The sequence below is a fragment of the Homo sapiens genome, chromosome 15 (genome assembly GCF_000001405.40).
Source record: "Homo sapiens chromosome 15, GRCh38.p14 Primary Assembly".
NCBI lineage: Eukaryota > Metazoa > Chordata > Mammalia > Primates > Hominidae > Homo > Homo sapiens.
In genome coordinates, this window is record NC_000015.10 from 90,440,401 (window position 1) to 90,455,874 (window position 15,474).

Genomic DNA, 15,474 nt, shown 5'->3' on the forward strand with positions numbered 1-15,474 from the left:
ATGCCATTTTATCCCATTGCATAGTTGAGGAATATGTTTCCTTCTCTTGGTTATGGAAGGGTGCTTAGCTTGATTGACTGATTATTAATTCCCTCCTGTAGAAGAAGAAATCAACAACATGAAGACTGAGTTGGAGAAGTATGGCATCCAGATGCCTGCCTTTAGCAAGATTGGGGGCATCTTGGCTAATGAACTGTCAGTGGATGAAGCCGCATGTAAGAAGAGAGAAATTTTGTGGGTTCAACTGGGATTGTTGCCACTATTTCCAATAATTAATTCTATAGTGATGATCTAGGACATTATGAATCTTGCCAGCAAGTTTAAGTCCACAGATGTAGTTGTAAACACATAGTCTTCCATGCTGTTATTATTTGGAAATACATGATTAATTCTGATTAAAGTGAAAGCATTTAGAAAGGAAGTCCTGGCTGGGCGTGGTGGCTCACGCCTGTAATCCCAGCACTTCGGGAGGCCAAGGCGGGTGGATCACCTGAGGTCAGGAGTTCAAGACCAGCCTGGCCATGGTGAAACCCCGTCTCTACTAAAAATACAAAAATTTAGCCGGGCATGGTGGTGTGCACCTGTAATCCCAGCTACTCGGGAGGCTGAGGCAGGAGAATCACTTGAACCCAAGAGGCAGAGGTTGCAGTGAGCCGAGATCATGCCATTGCACTCCAGACTGGGCAACAAGAGTGAAACTCTGTCTCAAAAAAAAAAAGAAAAAAAAAGAAAGGAAGTCCTACATTTCCGTGGCTCATTGAGTTTCTTATTGTTTTATGGTGTTTACTTGGTAATTAAGGCAGATATCTCCAGAGCAAGTGTTCCTTGCAAGGCTCTCTTATGAGTGTTTCTCTGTGAGATTCTAAATTCACCATCCCAGACATGGATCACAGATGGAGCTGTGGCTTTGCATACTGTAAGGAAGAGGCTAGGCTCATAGCCTGGCCCAGGGAGCCAGTCTTCGAACCCCAGTTGTTATTTCTCTGTGAAAAGGAGCCTCTGTCTCTAATGGGGGGTGCAATGTTGCTTTCTGTTGTGATATACATCCTGTAATCTATATAATCTCAGTGTTTTTGTTGGTTTGTTTTTTTGTTTTTTTTTTTAGTACATGCTGCTGTTATTGCTATTAATGAAGCTATTGACCGTAGAATTCCAGCCGACACATTTGCAGCTTTGAAAAATCCGAATGCCATGCTTGTAAATCTTGAAGAGCCCTTGGCATCCACTTACCAGGATATACTTTACCAGGCTAAGCAGGACAAAATGACAAATGCTAAAAACAGGGTAAAAATGCAACATCTATTCTTTCTAATTAATTTATATTATTCCGTCATTTGATATGGCTCCAGTTTAAACATCAGTTTTATTGAGATGCAGTTTACATACAACAAAATTCACCGGATTTTAAATGTACAGTTTGAGTTTTGAAAAGTATATGTGATCATTTAACCATCACTCCCAGAAAGTTCCTTAGTGCACTTTTGCAATTAGTTTCCACCTTACCCACACCCCTGAGCCCAGGCAACTACCAGTCTATTTTCTATTGCTGCCATTGACCTTTTTAAGAATTTTATACAAATGGAATGATGCAGTATCTAATCTTTTGGTGTGAGGCTCCATTTTGACCTCTGCTTCTTGAATTTTATATAAATAAAATTCTAGAGCGTAGCCATTAAAATTAATAGTGCCCTTTGGAAAGATTATCTCTAAATATTAACATAGTCTTTCCTCTTTCCCAGATTCTCTGGGGTAAAATGTTTGTGTACAGTTGTTATGGGTATGTGGAAGTTAGTTAAATGATTCTGACTTGAAAAAACTGAATCTGAGGATCTCATTTCCCGAGGTCAGGAGTTTGAGACCAGCCTGGCCAACATGGCGAAATCCCATCTATACTAAAAGTCAAAAATTAGCCCAGCGTTGTGTTGGGCTCCTGTAATCCCAGGTACTTGGGAGGCTGAGGCAGCAGAATCTATTGAACCTGGGAGGTGGAGGCTGCAGTGAGCCAAGACTGCACCAGCCAGGAGACAGGGCGAGACTCCGTCTCGGGGGGGAAAAAAAAAACTTCACACAAATTTATCCACCCCTTGTTAAAATTAGTGGTTGATGACAAAACGAAGACAATCCTGCTCTCAGAACATTCTTTGTATCTCTTATCATAGAGCAGGGATTTCAGTTTCCCAGTTAGGTGCCAAACTGGCCTGCAGGCAAGTAGCTGCTGCCCTGCCTCTGCCTATGTCACCAGTGAGACTCCAGGATTGTGGATCTGTATGTGCCCATTCTGCTCAGATCTGAGGCAAGGATGTGCTGCCCCTAATCCCAGCACTTTGGGAGGCCAAGGCGGGCAGATCACTTGAGGTTAGGAGTTTGAGACCAGCCTGGCCAATATGGTGAAACCCTATCTCTACTAAAAATACCAAAAAAATTAACTGGGCATGATGGTGCACGCCTGTAGTCCCAGCTACTCAGGAGGCTGAAGCAAGAGAATCACGTGAACCCAGGAGGCAGAGTTTTTAATGAGCCAAGATGGTGCCATTGCACTGCAGCCTGGGTGACAGAGTGAGACTCTGTCTCAAAAAAAAGACAGAATCTCGCTCAGTCACCTAGGCTGGAGTGCAGTGGCACGGTCATAACTCACTGCAGCCTTGAACTTCTGGGGAAAGCAATCTTACTGTCACAGCCTCCTGAGTAGCTGGGACTACAGGCATGTGCCACCACATTGGGCTAATAAAAAAAAGTTTTTTGTAGAGATGGGGTCTCGCTATGTTGCCCAGGCTGATCTCAAACTCTTGGCTTCAAGCCATCTTCCCACCTTGGCCTTCCAAAGCACTGGGATTACAGGCATGAGTTACTGTGCCTGCTTTGTTCTTTATAAAGGGTCTTAAGCTACACCCATATTCTTGGTAGTGTTATGGTGCAGGAGGAGCACACGTGTATTTATGTGGTCTTCTTAGACACCTTAAGCTAACTTAATTACGCTTTTTACTCATCCTCAGACAGAAAACTCAGAGAGAGAAAGAGATGTTTATGAGGAGCTGCTCACGCAAGCTGAAATTCAAGGCAATATAAACAAAGTCAATAGTAAGTATGTTCCTGAATCAGGCACCTAAAGGGATATTATAATATAATGTGAATGTTGATCTATTCTGGGACTTACAACATAGTTTGATTTACTTACTTTAGACATTCGTGGATTTGTTTAGCAATAATTGCTTGTTAACAATCTTTTGTGTTTCTATGCCTCCGTTTTAATTATTTATCTTCAGTCAGCCGCTTGTTCCTACACTGACAGTAGCATCATAGTAGTCTGTTTGGCTACAGTTTCACTCTTTCACCCTATTACATGCTTTTAAATATTATTTTCCTGGCCAGGCACAGTGGCTGATTAATCCCAGCACTTACATATCTGTAATCCCAGGACTTTGGGAGGCTAAGGCGGGTGGATCACCTGAGGTCAGAAGTTCGAGACCAGCCTAGCCAATATGGTAAAACCCCATCTCTACTAAAAATACAAAAATTAGCCGGGCATGGTGGCGTGCTCTTGTAGTCCCAGCTACTTGGGAGGCTGAGGCAGGAGAATTGCTTGAACCTGGGAGGCATAGGTTGCAGTGAGCTGAGATGGTGCCACTGTACTCCAGACTGGGCAACAGTGAGACTCTGTCTCAAAAAAAAAAAAATATTTTTCTATTTTTTTAAAGTAACATTATATTTTTGTTTTTCCTTTAAAGAATAATGCAAGCTGTCTAGAAATAAAAAATAAACCACAAAAATTAGACTCCTTCACTTAGAAATAATCATCACTTAGGAATAATCATTACTGGCATTTTTTTGTATGTCCTTCAAAACTGTGTGTGTGTGTGTGTGTGTGTGTGTGTGTGTGTGTATATATATATTTTTTTTTTTCTTTAAGAGACAGAGTTACACTTTGTTGTTTAGGCTGCAGTTGCGATTATGGTTTACTGCAGCCTCAAACTCTTGGGCTCAAACCATCCTTCTGTTTCAAATTCTCTAGTAGCTAGGACTACAGTCATGCGCTGCCACACCCAGCTGATTTTTAAAATTTTTTTGAAGAGACAGGGTCTCGCTCTGTTGCCCAGGTTGGTGTCAAACTCCTGATCTCAAGTGATCCTGCCACCTTGGCCTCCCAAATTGCTGGGATTACAGGCATGAGCCACCTTGCCCAGCCTCCAAAACATATTTAAACAAAAATGAGATTATACTTTTAATATTGACTTTTATATATGTGTTACTTTTGGGAAATTAATTTATTGAAATTATCATTTTGTCACTACTCTGCTAAAGAACTCACCATGACTACTTCATACTTGCCAGACAAAATGCAGATCCCTAGCCTAGTGCAGTTCTTTATGCAATATTTCATGCATACAGCTCTTTGTAGAAGCTCATTTGCCTAATTACCTCCCATACTCATTCTGTACATTTTATGACTTAAAAGGAATCTGGGCCAGGCAATTCCAGCATTTTGGAAGGCCAGGGCAGGTGGATTGCCTGAGCTTAGGTTTGAGACCAGCCTGGGCAATGTGGCGAAACCCTGTCTCTACAAAAAATACAAAAACTAGCTGGACGTGGTGACATGCGCCTGTAGTCCCAGCTACTTGGGGGCTGAAGCAGGAGGATTGCTTGAGCCCAGGAGGTTGAGGCTACAGTGAGCTGTGTTCGCACCACTGCACTGTAGCCTGGGCAACAGAGTGAGACCCTGCCTCAAAAAATTAATTAATTAATTTTTTTTTTTTAAAAAAGAATCTGGCTCTGAAGTGGTACTGACCTGGTATTTGATCTCTTGTTCCTCTGTTAAAAGCTGTGTAACATTGGGCACCTGCAGTAGCGTTGTTAGACATATAATACGAGATAGTGTATGTAAATTGCCTGCTATTTAGTAAGTACTCAATGAACATTAATATTATCGCTATGTCATGTAATCTCCCTACTGTAATGCCTTCATGCCTCATCTCTTCCTAATCCAAATTGTACCCATCATTCAAGATCCAGTTCAATTTTCACTTCAGTGCCTGTCACAGTTCAATATGGTTGACTTTCAAATCTCCTGTGTCGTACACAGGCTCATCCCTATAAATTTGCACTTAATTATATATTGTCTTGTATTGCTTGATCTTTATTTCTGACATCTTTGTAAACTCCTTAAAGTAGAGATTACGTATTCTGCTTCTTTTGAAGTCCTCCTAATTCCTAGCATAGGTTTAGACTCACCAAAAAAACTAAAAGGTTTGATTTCAACCAACTAGGTCAGGCTTAATCTTGTTTTGCTCAAGATACTCATAACAATAATAATAGTAATTGTTCTCATTGTTCATTTGGAGGGCCAAATTTCTCATTTGAACTAATACTAATAACTAGAGAGGATTTAGAAGATTTTACCAATTGCATAGGATTGGAGTTTTAAGTCCTGACCAGCATTCTTTTTTTTTGGGTTTTTTTTTTTTTTGGAGACAGAGCCCAGGCTGGAGTGCAGTGGCACGATCTCGGCTCACTGCAACCTCTGCCTCCTGGGTTCAAGAGATTTCTTCTGCCTCAGCCTCCTGAGTGGATGACCAGCATTCTTTGTATTCTGCTACCTTCTGGTTCATTTAGGATAATGACCTTCCTAGCAGAATAATCCATTCAAGTGTGGATGGTATCTTGTGCTGAATCTGTATTAATCCTTAAGTCAGCAAATATAAACTGGAGTGTCCTTATGGTTGGTTCTCTGTGAGAAGAAAGTCCACGATGTTTCCTGTTGCATAGAGTACATAAAATATTTTTTGTTTTACTGAGGGATTTTTCTCTACCTTACTGTTTGGTATTTTATAACCTTTATAGTTTTACCTTGCTAATTGTATAAGAATCAGTTGTGAGCACATGTAAGGAAATAATAATATGTTCTTAAAATGTCCTATTCATATTATTATTATGTAGTCAGAGGAGCAAAATAATAAAAATTCCCTCAAATACCTTTCAGTATAGTGGGGAAGATAGACATACAAATGAGTACTTTTAGGGCAGCTTGATTAGAGCAAGATGCCAAGAGCACATGTGGTGCAGTCATAGAATAAAGAAGGGAATGATGACTTCTGCTTAGAAGTTTGAGCAGGTTTTCAGTGTACATGGATCTTCACAGGGATCCTTAGGATAGATAAGAGGGTGAGGATAAGGCAGAATTCCCTATAAAAGGACAGTCTTTTCCTAATTGTAGAGAAAGTCTTGAGGCAAAGGAAAGTTAGATGCCAGGAGGATATAGGGACTTCGGGTTCCAGGAATTAATGTAATTATAGATAAGATTCTTTGCCTAGAGCATTCGAAACAGCAATGAGGCCATTGATGCTGCCCCAGGAGAAAGCTGCAGGCCAAGCAGTTAAAAATTAGAAAAAGTTTTTATTTTATTTTTTGTTAAGTAGACTAAGGAAAATTAGAGTTATATAACTAAAGTTCAGTGAGAGAAAGTATTTAAGTAATGTTCCACACTTTATTATGTTTGCAATATAAATGTTTATAGATATTCATTTAATATTTACATATTTAAGTAGTATGTGTACACTTCTAGAAAAAGCAAAATTTACTAGATGCTTTTGTAGATAGATAATCTAAGACTCTATGCTATATACCTAGAGAAAGTCTAGTTTGTTATCTACATTGATTTTATTTTCTGTCCCTAGCTACTATGAAAGCTCCTTGAGGACAGGATATTTGTTTTTTTCACAATTATATTTGCAACATATAGCAGATCCTCAGTAAATATCATTGAAGGAATGGATGATTAGTTGGCTAACAGCCACATATACCTGCAGACATGACTTGAGAAGCCACCACCTTGGTATGGTGCTCAGTTGAATGGCAGGTATGAATATTAGGAAGAAATAAACAGTATCTTAGGAGCCTACAGTGAGACCTCACATCCATACCAATGTTTTAACCTTTTCTTCCGCCCTTTTTTTAAATAGTTCTAGTCTCCTCATTGCCCCTACTTCCCATTTTCTAGTTTGAGACTTTATTTTCCCTTGGGCTGTTTTGATTTTCTTTATAACAGCTTATTAATTTTATTTTGTTTTTTACTAATGAAAACATTTGCAATTGATAAGTACTATTATGCCCCAGATATTTTTATTTTTGGTATTTTATTGATTTCTTTTTGCTACTGTGATAAAATCAGATGTTTATCTGTGAGTGGTGGTAGGGACAGGCATTTTCTCTTCAAAAAATAAGGAAACGGAAAGTAAAAAAGTAATTATGATTCCTTAGTGGCTATCATTTCTGAAATCAGAAATTATCTTATTCTGTCTTTCAGGCTAAGAATACCTTTTTGTTTTGTTTTGTTTTTTTTACAATATATAAAGTGCTTTTATGTATATGATTTTATTTAATCTTAAAAATATTCCTATGACGGAAGGTATCTTCATTATCATTTTCAGATGAAGGAACATCTGGGTTTTCATTGTCATGTATTGTATTATAGAGCTTGTGTGACCTCAGGTTCTATGATTAGAAGAGAGAATGTGGAAAGGGGAAGATGACCCCTTTCACTCTGCACAGGTTGGACCACCCTTGATAGCAGGGCACTGACTGTTGTGGGTGGAGTGTGTTCAGGAAGTATCAGGGTAATGAGAGGATTCAAAATGGTGCTATGTAAGACATGGTTAAAGGAAATAAGGCTGCTAGTAAGGCATTTGCTGTCATAGGGAGGGGCAGTGGAATGTATTCAGTGTGAACTTTAGGGTTGGAGCTTTAAAAATATTTTTGAAACAAAATTGTCCAAAGATGTAGTAAGTGGCCACGGGAGATACTTTCTCCTGTTTGGTAGTCTGTAAGTATAATCTGGACAACTACTTGGCATTTTAAGGGAATTTAAGCGTCATGTTGGTCTGGATTGGTGGCTCCATATTGGTGCTGAGCTGTCTACATTTGGAAGTTTTTAAGTAGGCTGGGAGTGTGGCCCAGGAATCTGTATGAAATCTGATGAATAGCTTGTTGGGAACCCCTGGACTTGATGACTCTAAGGTTCTTTTCCAATCCCAAGATCTTATGCTTCTGAGAATCACAGAGTAAAGGCTCTCTGAGTTATATTTCCTTATCTGGAACTGAGATTGGTTTTGGGGAAGGAAAACTATTCTAGGCTCTTCTGTTAACATAGTCCTTTCACAAGCTTTTGCCTTTTTTCCTCAGCATTTTCTGCATTAGCAAATATCGACCTGGCTTTAGAACAAGGAGATGCACTGGCCTTGTTCAGGGCTCTGCAGTCACCAGCCCTGGGGCTTCGAGGACTGCAGCAACAGAATAGCGACTGGTACTTGAAGCAGCTCCTGAGTGATAAACAGCAGAAGAGACAGGTAAACATAGTCTGGATTGAAGCTGCAAGAGTTTGTATATATCCATTCGAATCCCATGCTGTCATTTAAAGATATATATGCTGCCTTTGTTTTTCCCCCAATACGACTTTTTCCTCTGCATATAAATTAGTTTAAAAAAAAATCCTCAGGTAAAATACACATTGTCTTCAGCTCACTTTTGCTTTTAGAGCTATGAATCCTCTTTTAAGATAAACAGACAATACCCACCCATCCCCAGTCTAATCACTCCTTCACTTCAGCTGTCTCTCTCTCCAACTAAAAGACATTGGGGAAAACCTGAATATTTTTGCATTCTTACGTCAGGAATTTGCACTTTAAAAAAAAACTGCACCTTATTAGTTTGCTCTGGCCAAAGCTGGAAAAGTACTTACTGTGCAGTCAGGGTAGCTTGTGTGGGATTGTATTTCGTGGGTTTTTTTTTTTTAGAACAAACATGAGGGGCTTTCTTTTTTGTCTAAATAAGGGCAAGTATACATTTTACAAATATCCAGCGTACGTTGGTCAAAGTAAGTAGCATTAACGTGCTTAAGATTCTACAAACACTTTTTCCTTAGAACTTTTTGAGGCTTTTCATGTAATATGTTTAAGAATGTACTGGTATCTGTAAAGTCACTCTACCCCAGCTTTGGCAAAGGCATTTGGCTCTACCTGGGGCTGCCACCTTGGCTGCATGTAGCCTGAGCTGTCACTTATGACTATGGCTCTCTCTGTCCCTAGTGACTGCTTTTGAGAGATGAGAACCTTAAGGCCTGGAGTCATAGGAATGAGTAATCTTTACATAATTTTCTTTGCTTTGCTCAGAGTGGTCAGACTGACCCCCTGCAGAAGGAGGAGCTGCAGTCTGGAGTGGATGCTGCAAACAGTGCTGCCCAGCAATATCAGAGAAGTAAGAGTCCATTGAAATTGTATGGGAGGAAAGTTGTGGCTTTGTGTTATTGAAGGGTCTGAGGTTAGCTTCTGTCATCGTCATCACCCACTCTGAGCCTACTAGCCATAACCAACTGCCAGGTACTTTTGGTGGCAGGAGGGTTCCTCCAGTTTGTTGTTGTGGTGGTTTTAATTGCTGTGTAATAGTTGTACATATTTTGAGGGTACATGTGTTTTGTTTTTTAAACCAACCAAGAAGCACTGACACCAACCAAGAAGCACTGACGTATGATATTTTGATACATGCATACAATGTATTATGATCAAATCAGGGTAATTGGAATATTTGTCACCTAACGCATTTATCTTTTGTTGATGTTGGGAACATTCCAGTTCTTCTGTTTTGAACTATACATTATTGTTAACTATCATCATCCTACTGTGCTATCTAACACTAGACCTATTCCTTGTATCTAATGGTAATTTTGTACCCGTTAGCCAACCTCTCTATGTCCTCCTCCCCACTACCCTTCCCAGCTTCTGGGAACCACCAGTCAACTCTACCTCTGTGAGATCCACTTTTTTAGCTCCCATATATGAGTGAGATCAGGAGGTATTTGCCTTTCTGTGTCTGGCTTATTTCACTTAACATAATGACCTTCAGTTTTTATGGCTGAATAATATTCCATTATGTGTATACACTACCTTTTTTTTTTTTTTTTTTTTTTTTTTTTTTTTTACCATTTATTCATTGATGGACGCTTAGGTTGATTTCATATCTTGGCTATTGTGAATACAGCTGCAGTAAACATGGGAGTGCTGATTTCCTTTCTTTTGGCCATATACCTAGCAATGGGATTGCTGAATCATATGTAGTTTTATTTTAATTTTTTGAGGACTCTCCATCCTGTTTTCCGTAGCGGCTATAGTAATTTATATTCCCATCAACAGTGTATGAGCCCTTTCTCTGCAGCCTTCCCAGCATTTGTTATTTTTTGTCTTTGATAAAAGCCATTTTAATTGGGGTGAGAAAGTATCTCATTGTGGTTTTGATGTGTATTTCCCTGATGATTAATGATGTTGAGCATTTTTTCATATACCTGTTGGCCATTTGTGTGTCTTCTTTTGATAAAAATCTATTCAGCTTATTTGCCCATGTAAAAATTGGATTATTTGTGGGGTTTTTTTTTGTTTTTTTTTTTTTGGCTGTTGTTTGAATTTCTTATATATTATGGTTATTGTTCTCTTCTCAGATGGATCGTTTGCAAATGTTTTCTCCTGTTCTATATGTTGTCTCTTCACTTTGTTGTTGGTTTCCTTTGCTGTGCAGAAGCTTTTTAGCTTGACATAGTCCTGTTTGTCTATTTTTGCTTTCGTTGCTTATGCTTTTAAGGTCTTAGCTAAATGGCTTTGCTTAGACCAGTGTCCTGAAGCATTTCCCCAATGTTTTCTTCCAGTCGCTTCATAGTTTCAGGTCTTAGATTTAAGTCTTTAATCTATTTTGATTTATTTTTGTATATTATGAGAGATAGGGATCTAGCTTTATTCTTCTGCATATGGTTATCCAGTTTTCTCAACACCATTTATTGAAGAGACTGTCTGTCTCAGCCCATTTTACGTGGCTATAAAGGGATACTTGAAGTGGGGTAATTTATTAGCTCACAGCTCTGCAGGCTGTGCAAGAAGCAAGGCACCAGCATCTGCTCAGCTTCTGGTGAGGGCTTTTGTGCTGCATCAAAATATGAAGGAGAAGATCAAAGGGCAAGTGGGCTCATGTGAAGAGAGACTGATCCCCGGGGTAGTGAGTAGGGGTCCTGGCTTTATAACAACCCATTCTAATGAGAACTGATCCGTTCTCCCCAAGAACCAATCCAATCTTGCAAGAGCTCACTACCATGAGAATGGCACAAAGCCGTTGATGAGACATTTGCTCCTATGACCCACACAGCTCCTACTAGGCCCTGCCTCCCAACACCACCACACTGGGGATCAAGTTTCTTCTTTTTTTTTTTCATACCCTTAGGGTGATGTCAGGTATCAGATTTCAATGTGAGATTTGGTAGGGACAAATAAACCAATCCAAACCATAGCACTGTCTTTTCCCTGATGTGTGTTCTTGGTGTCTTTGTCAAAAAATGTTCTCCTCATGGCTGTAAATGTGTGGCTTTGTTTCTGAGTTCTCTATGGTGTTCTGTTGGTCTGTGTGCCCTTTTTTTTTTTTTTTGAGACGGAGTCTCACTCTGTTGCCAGGCTGGAGTGCAGTGGCACAATTTCAGCTCACTGCAACCTCTGACTCCCTGGTTCAAGCGATTCTCCTCTCTCAGCCTCCTGAGGAGCTGGGATTACAGGCACGTGCCACCACACCTAGCTCATTTTTGCATTTTTAGTAGAGACGGGGTTTCACCGTGTTGACCAGGATGGTCTCGATCTCCTGACCTCGTGATCCACCTGCCTTGGCCTCCCAAAGTGCTGGGATTACAAGCGTGAGCCACCGTGCCTGGCCAAGTTACTCCAGTTTTAAAGGTAGAACTGGAGTCAATATAGCCTCACTTTGGCTCGCACACACTTCATGATTTGTTAGGGAAATATCTGGAGGAGGTGAGACTTAAGGGATCGCTAAGATTTGGATGGTGAAAGAGGTGAGAAAAGAACGTCCTAGTGCAGGACAATGAGGGAAAAAGGAGGTGGGAGCGGAAGTACAGGTAGTGAAAGATGTCTTTGAGGAATGGTGGTTAGAATACAAATTTTGTAAATGTTTTGGGCTGAGTTGTGTAAGATCAAGGGGTGGAAAGATTGTAGAAAGCTTTGAATGGTAGCTTAAGAAGCCAGGCAGTAGGAGAAGGAAGAGGTGGTTTAGATGGGAAGTAGTGGTAGCATATAGGATGAATTGAACGGGAAGAAAATAGGGATGAGGAGAACAGTTAGGAGGCTGCTTTTTGAAGAAAACATCTTGATTGAGACATGGTTCACATACCGTACAGTTCACCCTTCTTCAGACAAAGGAGGCTGCTTTTTTAAAGACGAAAGTTCCACTTCAAACTTCATGGCTGATAGCCACAGAATGTGATATTTTTCCCATGAAGATTGGCACCTTCTTCCCCTGAGGGCTCTCTAAGCCCACTGCGTTTCTGACTCCTGTTTTTTACACAGGATTGGCAGCAGTAGCACTGATTAATGCTGCAATCCAGAAGGGTGTTGCTGAGAAGACTGTTTTGGAACTGATGAATCCCGAAGCCCAGCTGCCCCAGGTGTATCCATTTGCCGCCGATCTCTATCAGAAGGAGCTGGCTACCCTGCAGCGACAAAGTCCTGAAGTGAGTTCACTAAACCTGTCCTGTTTGTGAGCAAAGTTGGGTGGACGTGAGTGTAATACCCACTTCTTCCTGTGGTTAGGTAGAACTTTTTTGCATAAACTTGGTTTTCTTACAGTTTTATTAAACTTATAACTCCCTGGGTCTTGGAGAATGTCTTTCCTCACTGTTTTCCCTTCTGTCCCTTTCTGTACAGCATAATCTCACCCACCCAGAGCTCTCTGTCGCAGTGGAGATGTTGTCATCGGTGGCCCTGATCAACAGGGCATTGGAATCAGGAGATGTGAATACAGTGTGGAAGCAATTGAGCAGTTCAGTTACTGGTCTTACCAATATTGAGGAAGAAAACTGTCAGAGGTGGGTGTCCAGAGTGAAGGGAATAAATCCATTACGTAGCTGTTAACCCTGTCTTTTGTATGTCAGTGCTCCGATTTTCTTTGCAGGCATTATTACTTTATCATGGTCATACTTTTGTTTGGTTCTACTTTGATTCACTTAATTCTTTGTTATGCTGAAAAATATGACATTCCGTTCCTAAATATATAAGTAGGCTTAAATATGTTACATAGTCAAAATAACACTATCTCTGACAAAGTTAAATAATACTTTTTAAATATCATCTAACCCTAGCTAGTTCATTTTCATTCTTCATTTGTTCCCAAACTGTCCTTTATAGCTGTTTTGTTGAAAACAAGATCTAGCCTAGGAACATGTATTATATCTGGCTGTTGTGTCCCTTGAGTATCTTTTAATCTAGAATTGTCCCTTTCTTCATGAGACTGACTTGTTAAAGGGATGGGACCAATTGCCTATTTTATGGATAGTTCTAGTTGCTTTCTCATATTTGCCTTATTCCTGTAAATTGGAAATTAAATTTCTAGGCTTGTCACGATTCAGTTCAACATTTTTGATGATGTGTATTTCATATTGCCTCATATCAATAGGCATATAAAACCCACTTTTCCCACCATCCCACCATTAGAGATACTAAGATTGATCCCTGGATTAGGGAGACCACTTATACTTCCATTGCGTATTTACGCTTTTCCCTCATCACTAGAACATCATCTCTTTTGCACCGTCAAAATATCTAGTTTTCCATTAAGCATTCACGTGATATTTTTAACCCAATTGATAATCTTTCCTAAATCAGTACCTTCAGTAAAAGTTGCTGAATGATGATTTGTTGCTCTGTCATTCCTCCTGCATTTATTAGCTCATGTGTAGCCTTTTTTTCTTGTCTATGGAGGAATTGCTTGAACTGCTGCCTTTAATTCTAGAGTTAGTCTTAACATGGAATTTAGAATATGTAACAGGATATTGAGAATAAGTGATTTCTGTTGCATTTTTGCACTTTGTTTAAAGTAACTGTGCAGTTCCAAAACTGGTCTTGAGAATATATCAAATGGTTGGGATACCCTAGCAATCTTTGTTCCTTGAATATTTAAACATGCTGTGCTTAATGCTCTTTTTACTTGGGGGTCTGGGGCAGGTATCTCGATGAGTTGATGAAACTGAAGGCTCAGGCACATGCAGAGAATAATGAATTCATTACATGGAATGATATCCAAGCTTGCGTGGACCATGTGAACCTGGTGGTGCAAGAGGAACATGAGAGTGAGTTATCTTCCTGTCCTCCCCAAATAATGTCACCATTAATGATGATGTGATTCCATGAAGTGGTTCAAAATACTACTCCTAGAAGGATTTTTGGGTGAGAGATTGAAAATATCTATATAACACAAAAGGCTAAAGTTGGATATTGTTTTGAGAACACCAGGCAATTGCTATAATTAGGTATATGTCCAGTAAGAACTAAATTTTGGGGGAGGTGAATTGAACATGATCTGTTATTTTTAAATGCTGTTATAACAAGTAGTCCTGACACTACATGGAATTAGGTTGAATTGCACAGGTTGTAGGCATGGTCCTCCACAAGACTCCTCTCACTTCAGACACAAGCTGAAAGCTGCAGGGTTCCCAGGCCACTGTACTTCTGAACAACTGGCTGCAAATTTGGAGGATCCCTTCTACCCGCTCAGGTTTAATAATTTGCTAGAATGACTCACAGAACTCAAGAAAATGCTAGACTTACGATTAAAATTTTATTACAAAATATGTAAATCAGGATCAGCTGAAAGAAGAGAATCATCAGGCAATATCTGTGAGAGTCCCCAATATGAAGCTTCTGTGTTCTCAGGATGTGTCACTCTCCTGGCACATTGACGTGTATCACCAACCAGGGAAACACACCTGAGTTTTGGGTGTCCAGAGTTTTTATTTGGGTTCGTTACATATGCGTGATTGATAGTATTGGCTTTGCGATTAAACTCAATTTTCATTTGGCCTCTGCTCCCTGGAGAATGGGAGGCCAGGCTGGTATCACGTGACTCTATACCTCAGTGGTTGATCTTTCCAGCATGGCCAGCCTCCATCCTTAAACTCTCATGAGGCCAACCAGGAGTCATTGGTTGGCATAAATTCAGGTGTGGGCGGAGGGGCCCACCATGAATCACAGAAACATACCTATCACTCAGGATATCCCAAGGGTCTTAGACGCTCCCCCAGAGACAAAGACCAGCCAGACTTTTTATTATACAGCAGAGTCCTTACAAAAGCAGTACGGCTGCCTAAGATACCTGGGGAGTGAACGTTCCTAATTTTAATTTGTATTTCCTGGGAGAAATATTCAACTGACTTGGTGGGAAGAGCCTTGCTTCGCATTAGGGAGCCCTGCGCTTGGATCTTTCTTCTGCCATTTGTTTGCTGTGTAATCTTGGAGAAGAGATTGCTAAGCCTTGTTATTTCTTCTATAAAAGTGTTGAATTAGATGACTTTTTAAGAACCCTTGAACCTTTTTAAGACTCTTCGTGAATCCTTTGTGACTCAAGAATGTTTTTGATTACACATTCCAGTGTACCTGAAAGCTATACAGTAAG

The 15,474-nt window shown here is 40.1% G+C and overlaps 1 protein-coding gene across 2 annotated transcripts in view; it reads left to right on the forward strand.

The window, feature by feature from the left end:
• Positions 1-15,474, forward strand: part of IQGAP1 (IQ motif containing GTPase activating protein 1) — a 113,998-nt gene that overhangs the window by 52,159 nt on the left and 46,365 nt on the right. For both annotated transcript variants that reach the window (NM_003870.4, XM_047433204.1), the window contains exons 7-14: positions 102-215; positions 1,106-1,284; positions 2,994-3,078; positions 8,173-8,336; positions 9,159-9,243; positions 12,375-12,538; positions 12,732-12,892; positions 14,028-14,152. In NM_003870.4, coding sequence (NP_003861.1) covers positions 102-215; positions 1,106-1,284; positions 2,994-3,078; positions 8,173-8,336; positions 9,159-9,243; positions 12,375-12,538; positions 12,732-12,892; positions 14,028-14,152 — 1,077 coding nt within the window. The remainder of the gene's footprint in view (positions 1-101; positions 216-1,105; positions 1,285-2,993; positions 3,079-8,172; positions 8,337-9,158; positions 9,244-12,374; positions 12,539-12,731; positions 12,893-14,027; positions 14,153-15,474) is intronic.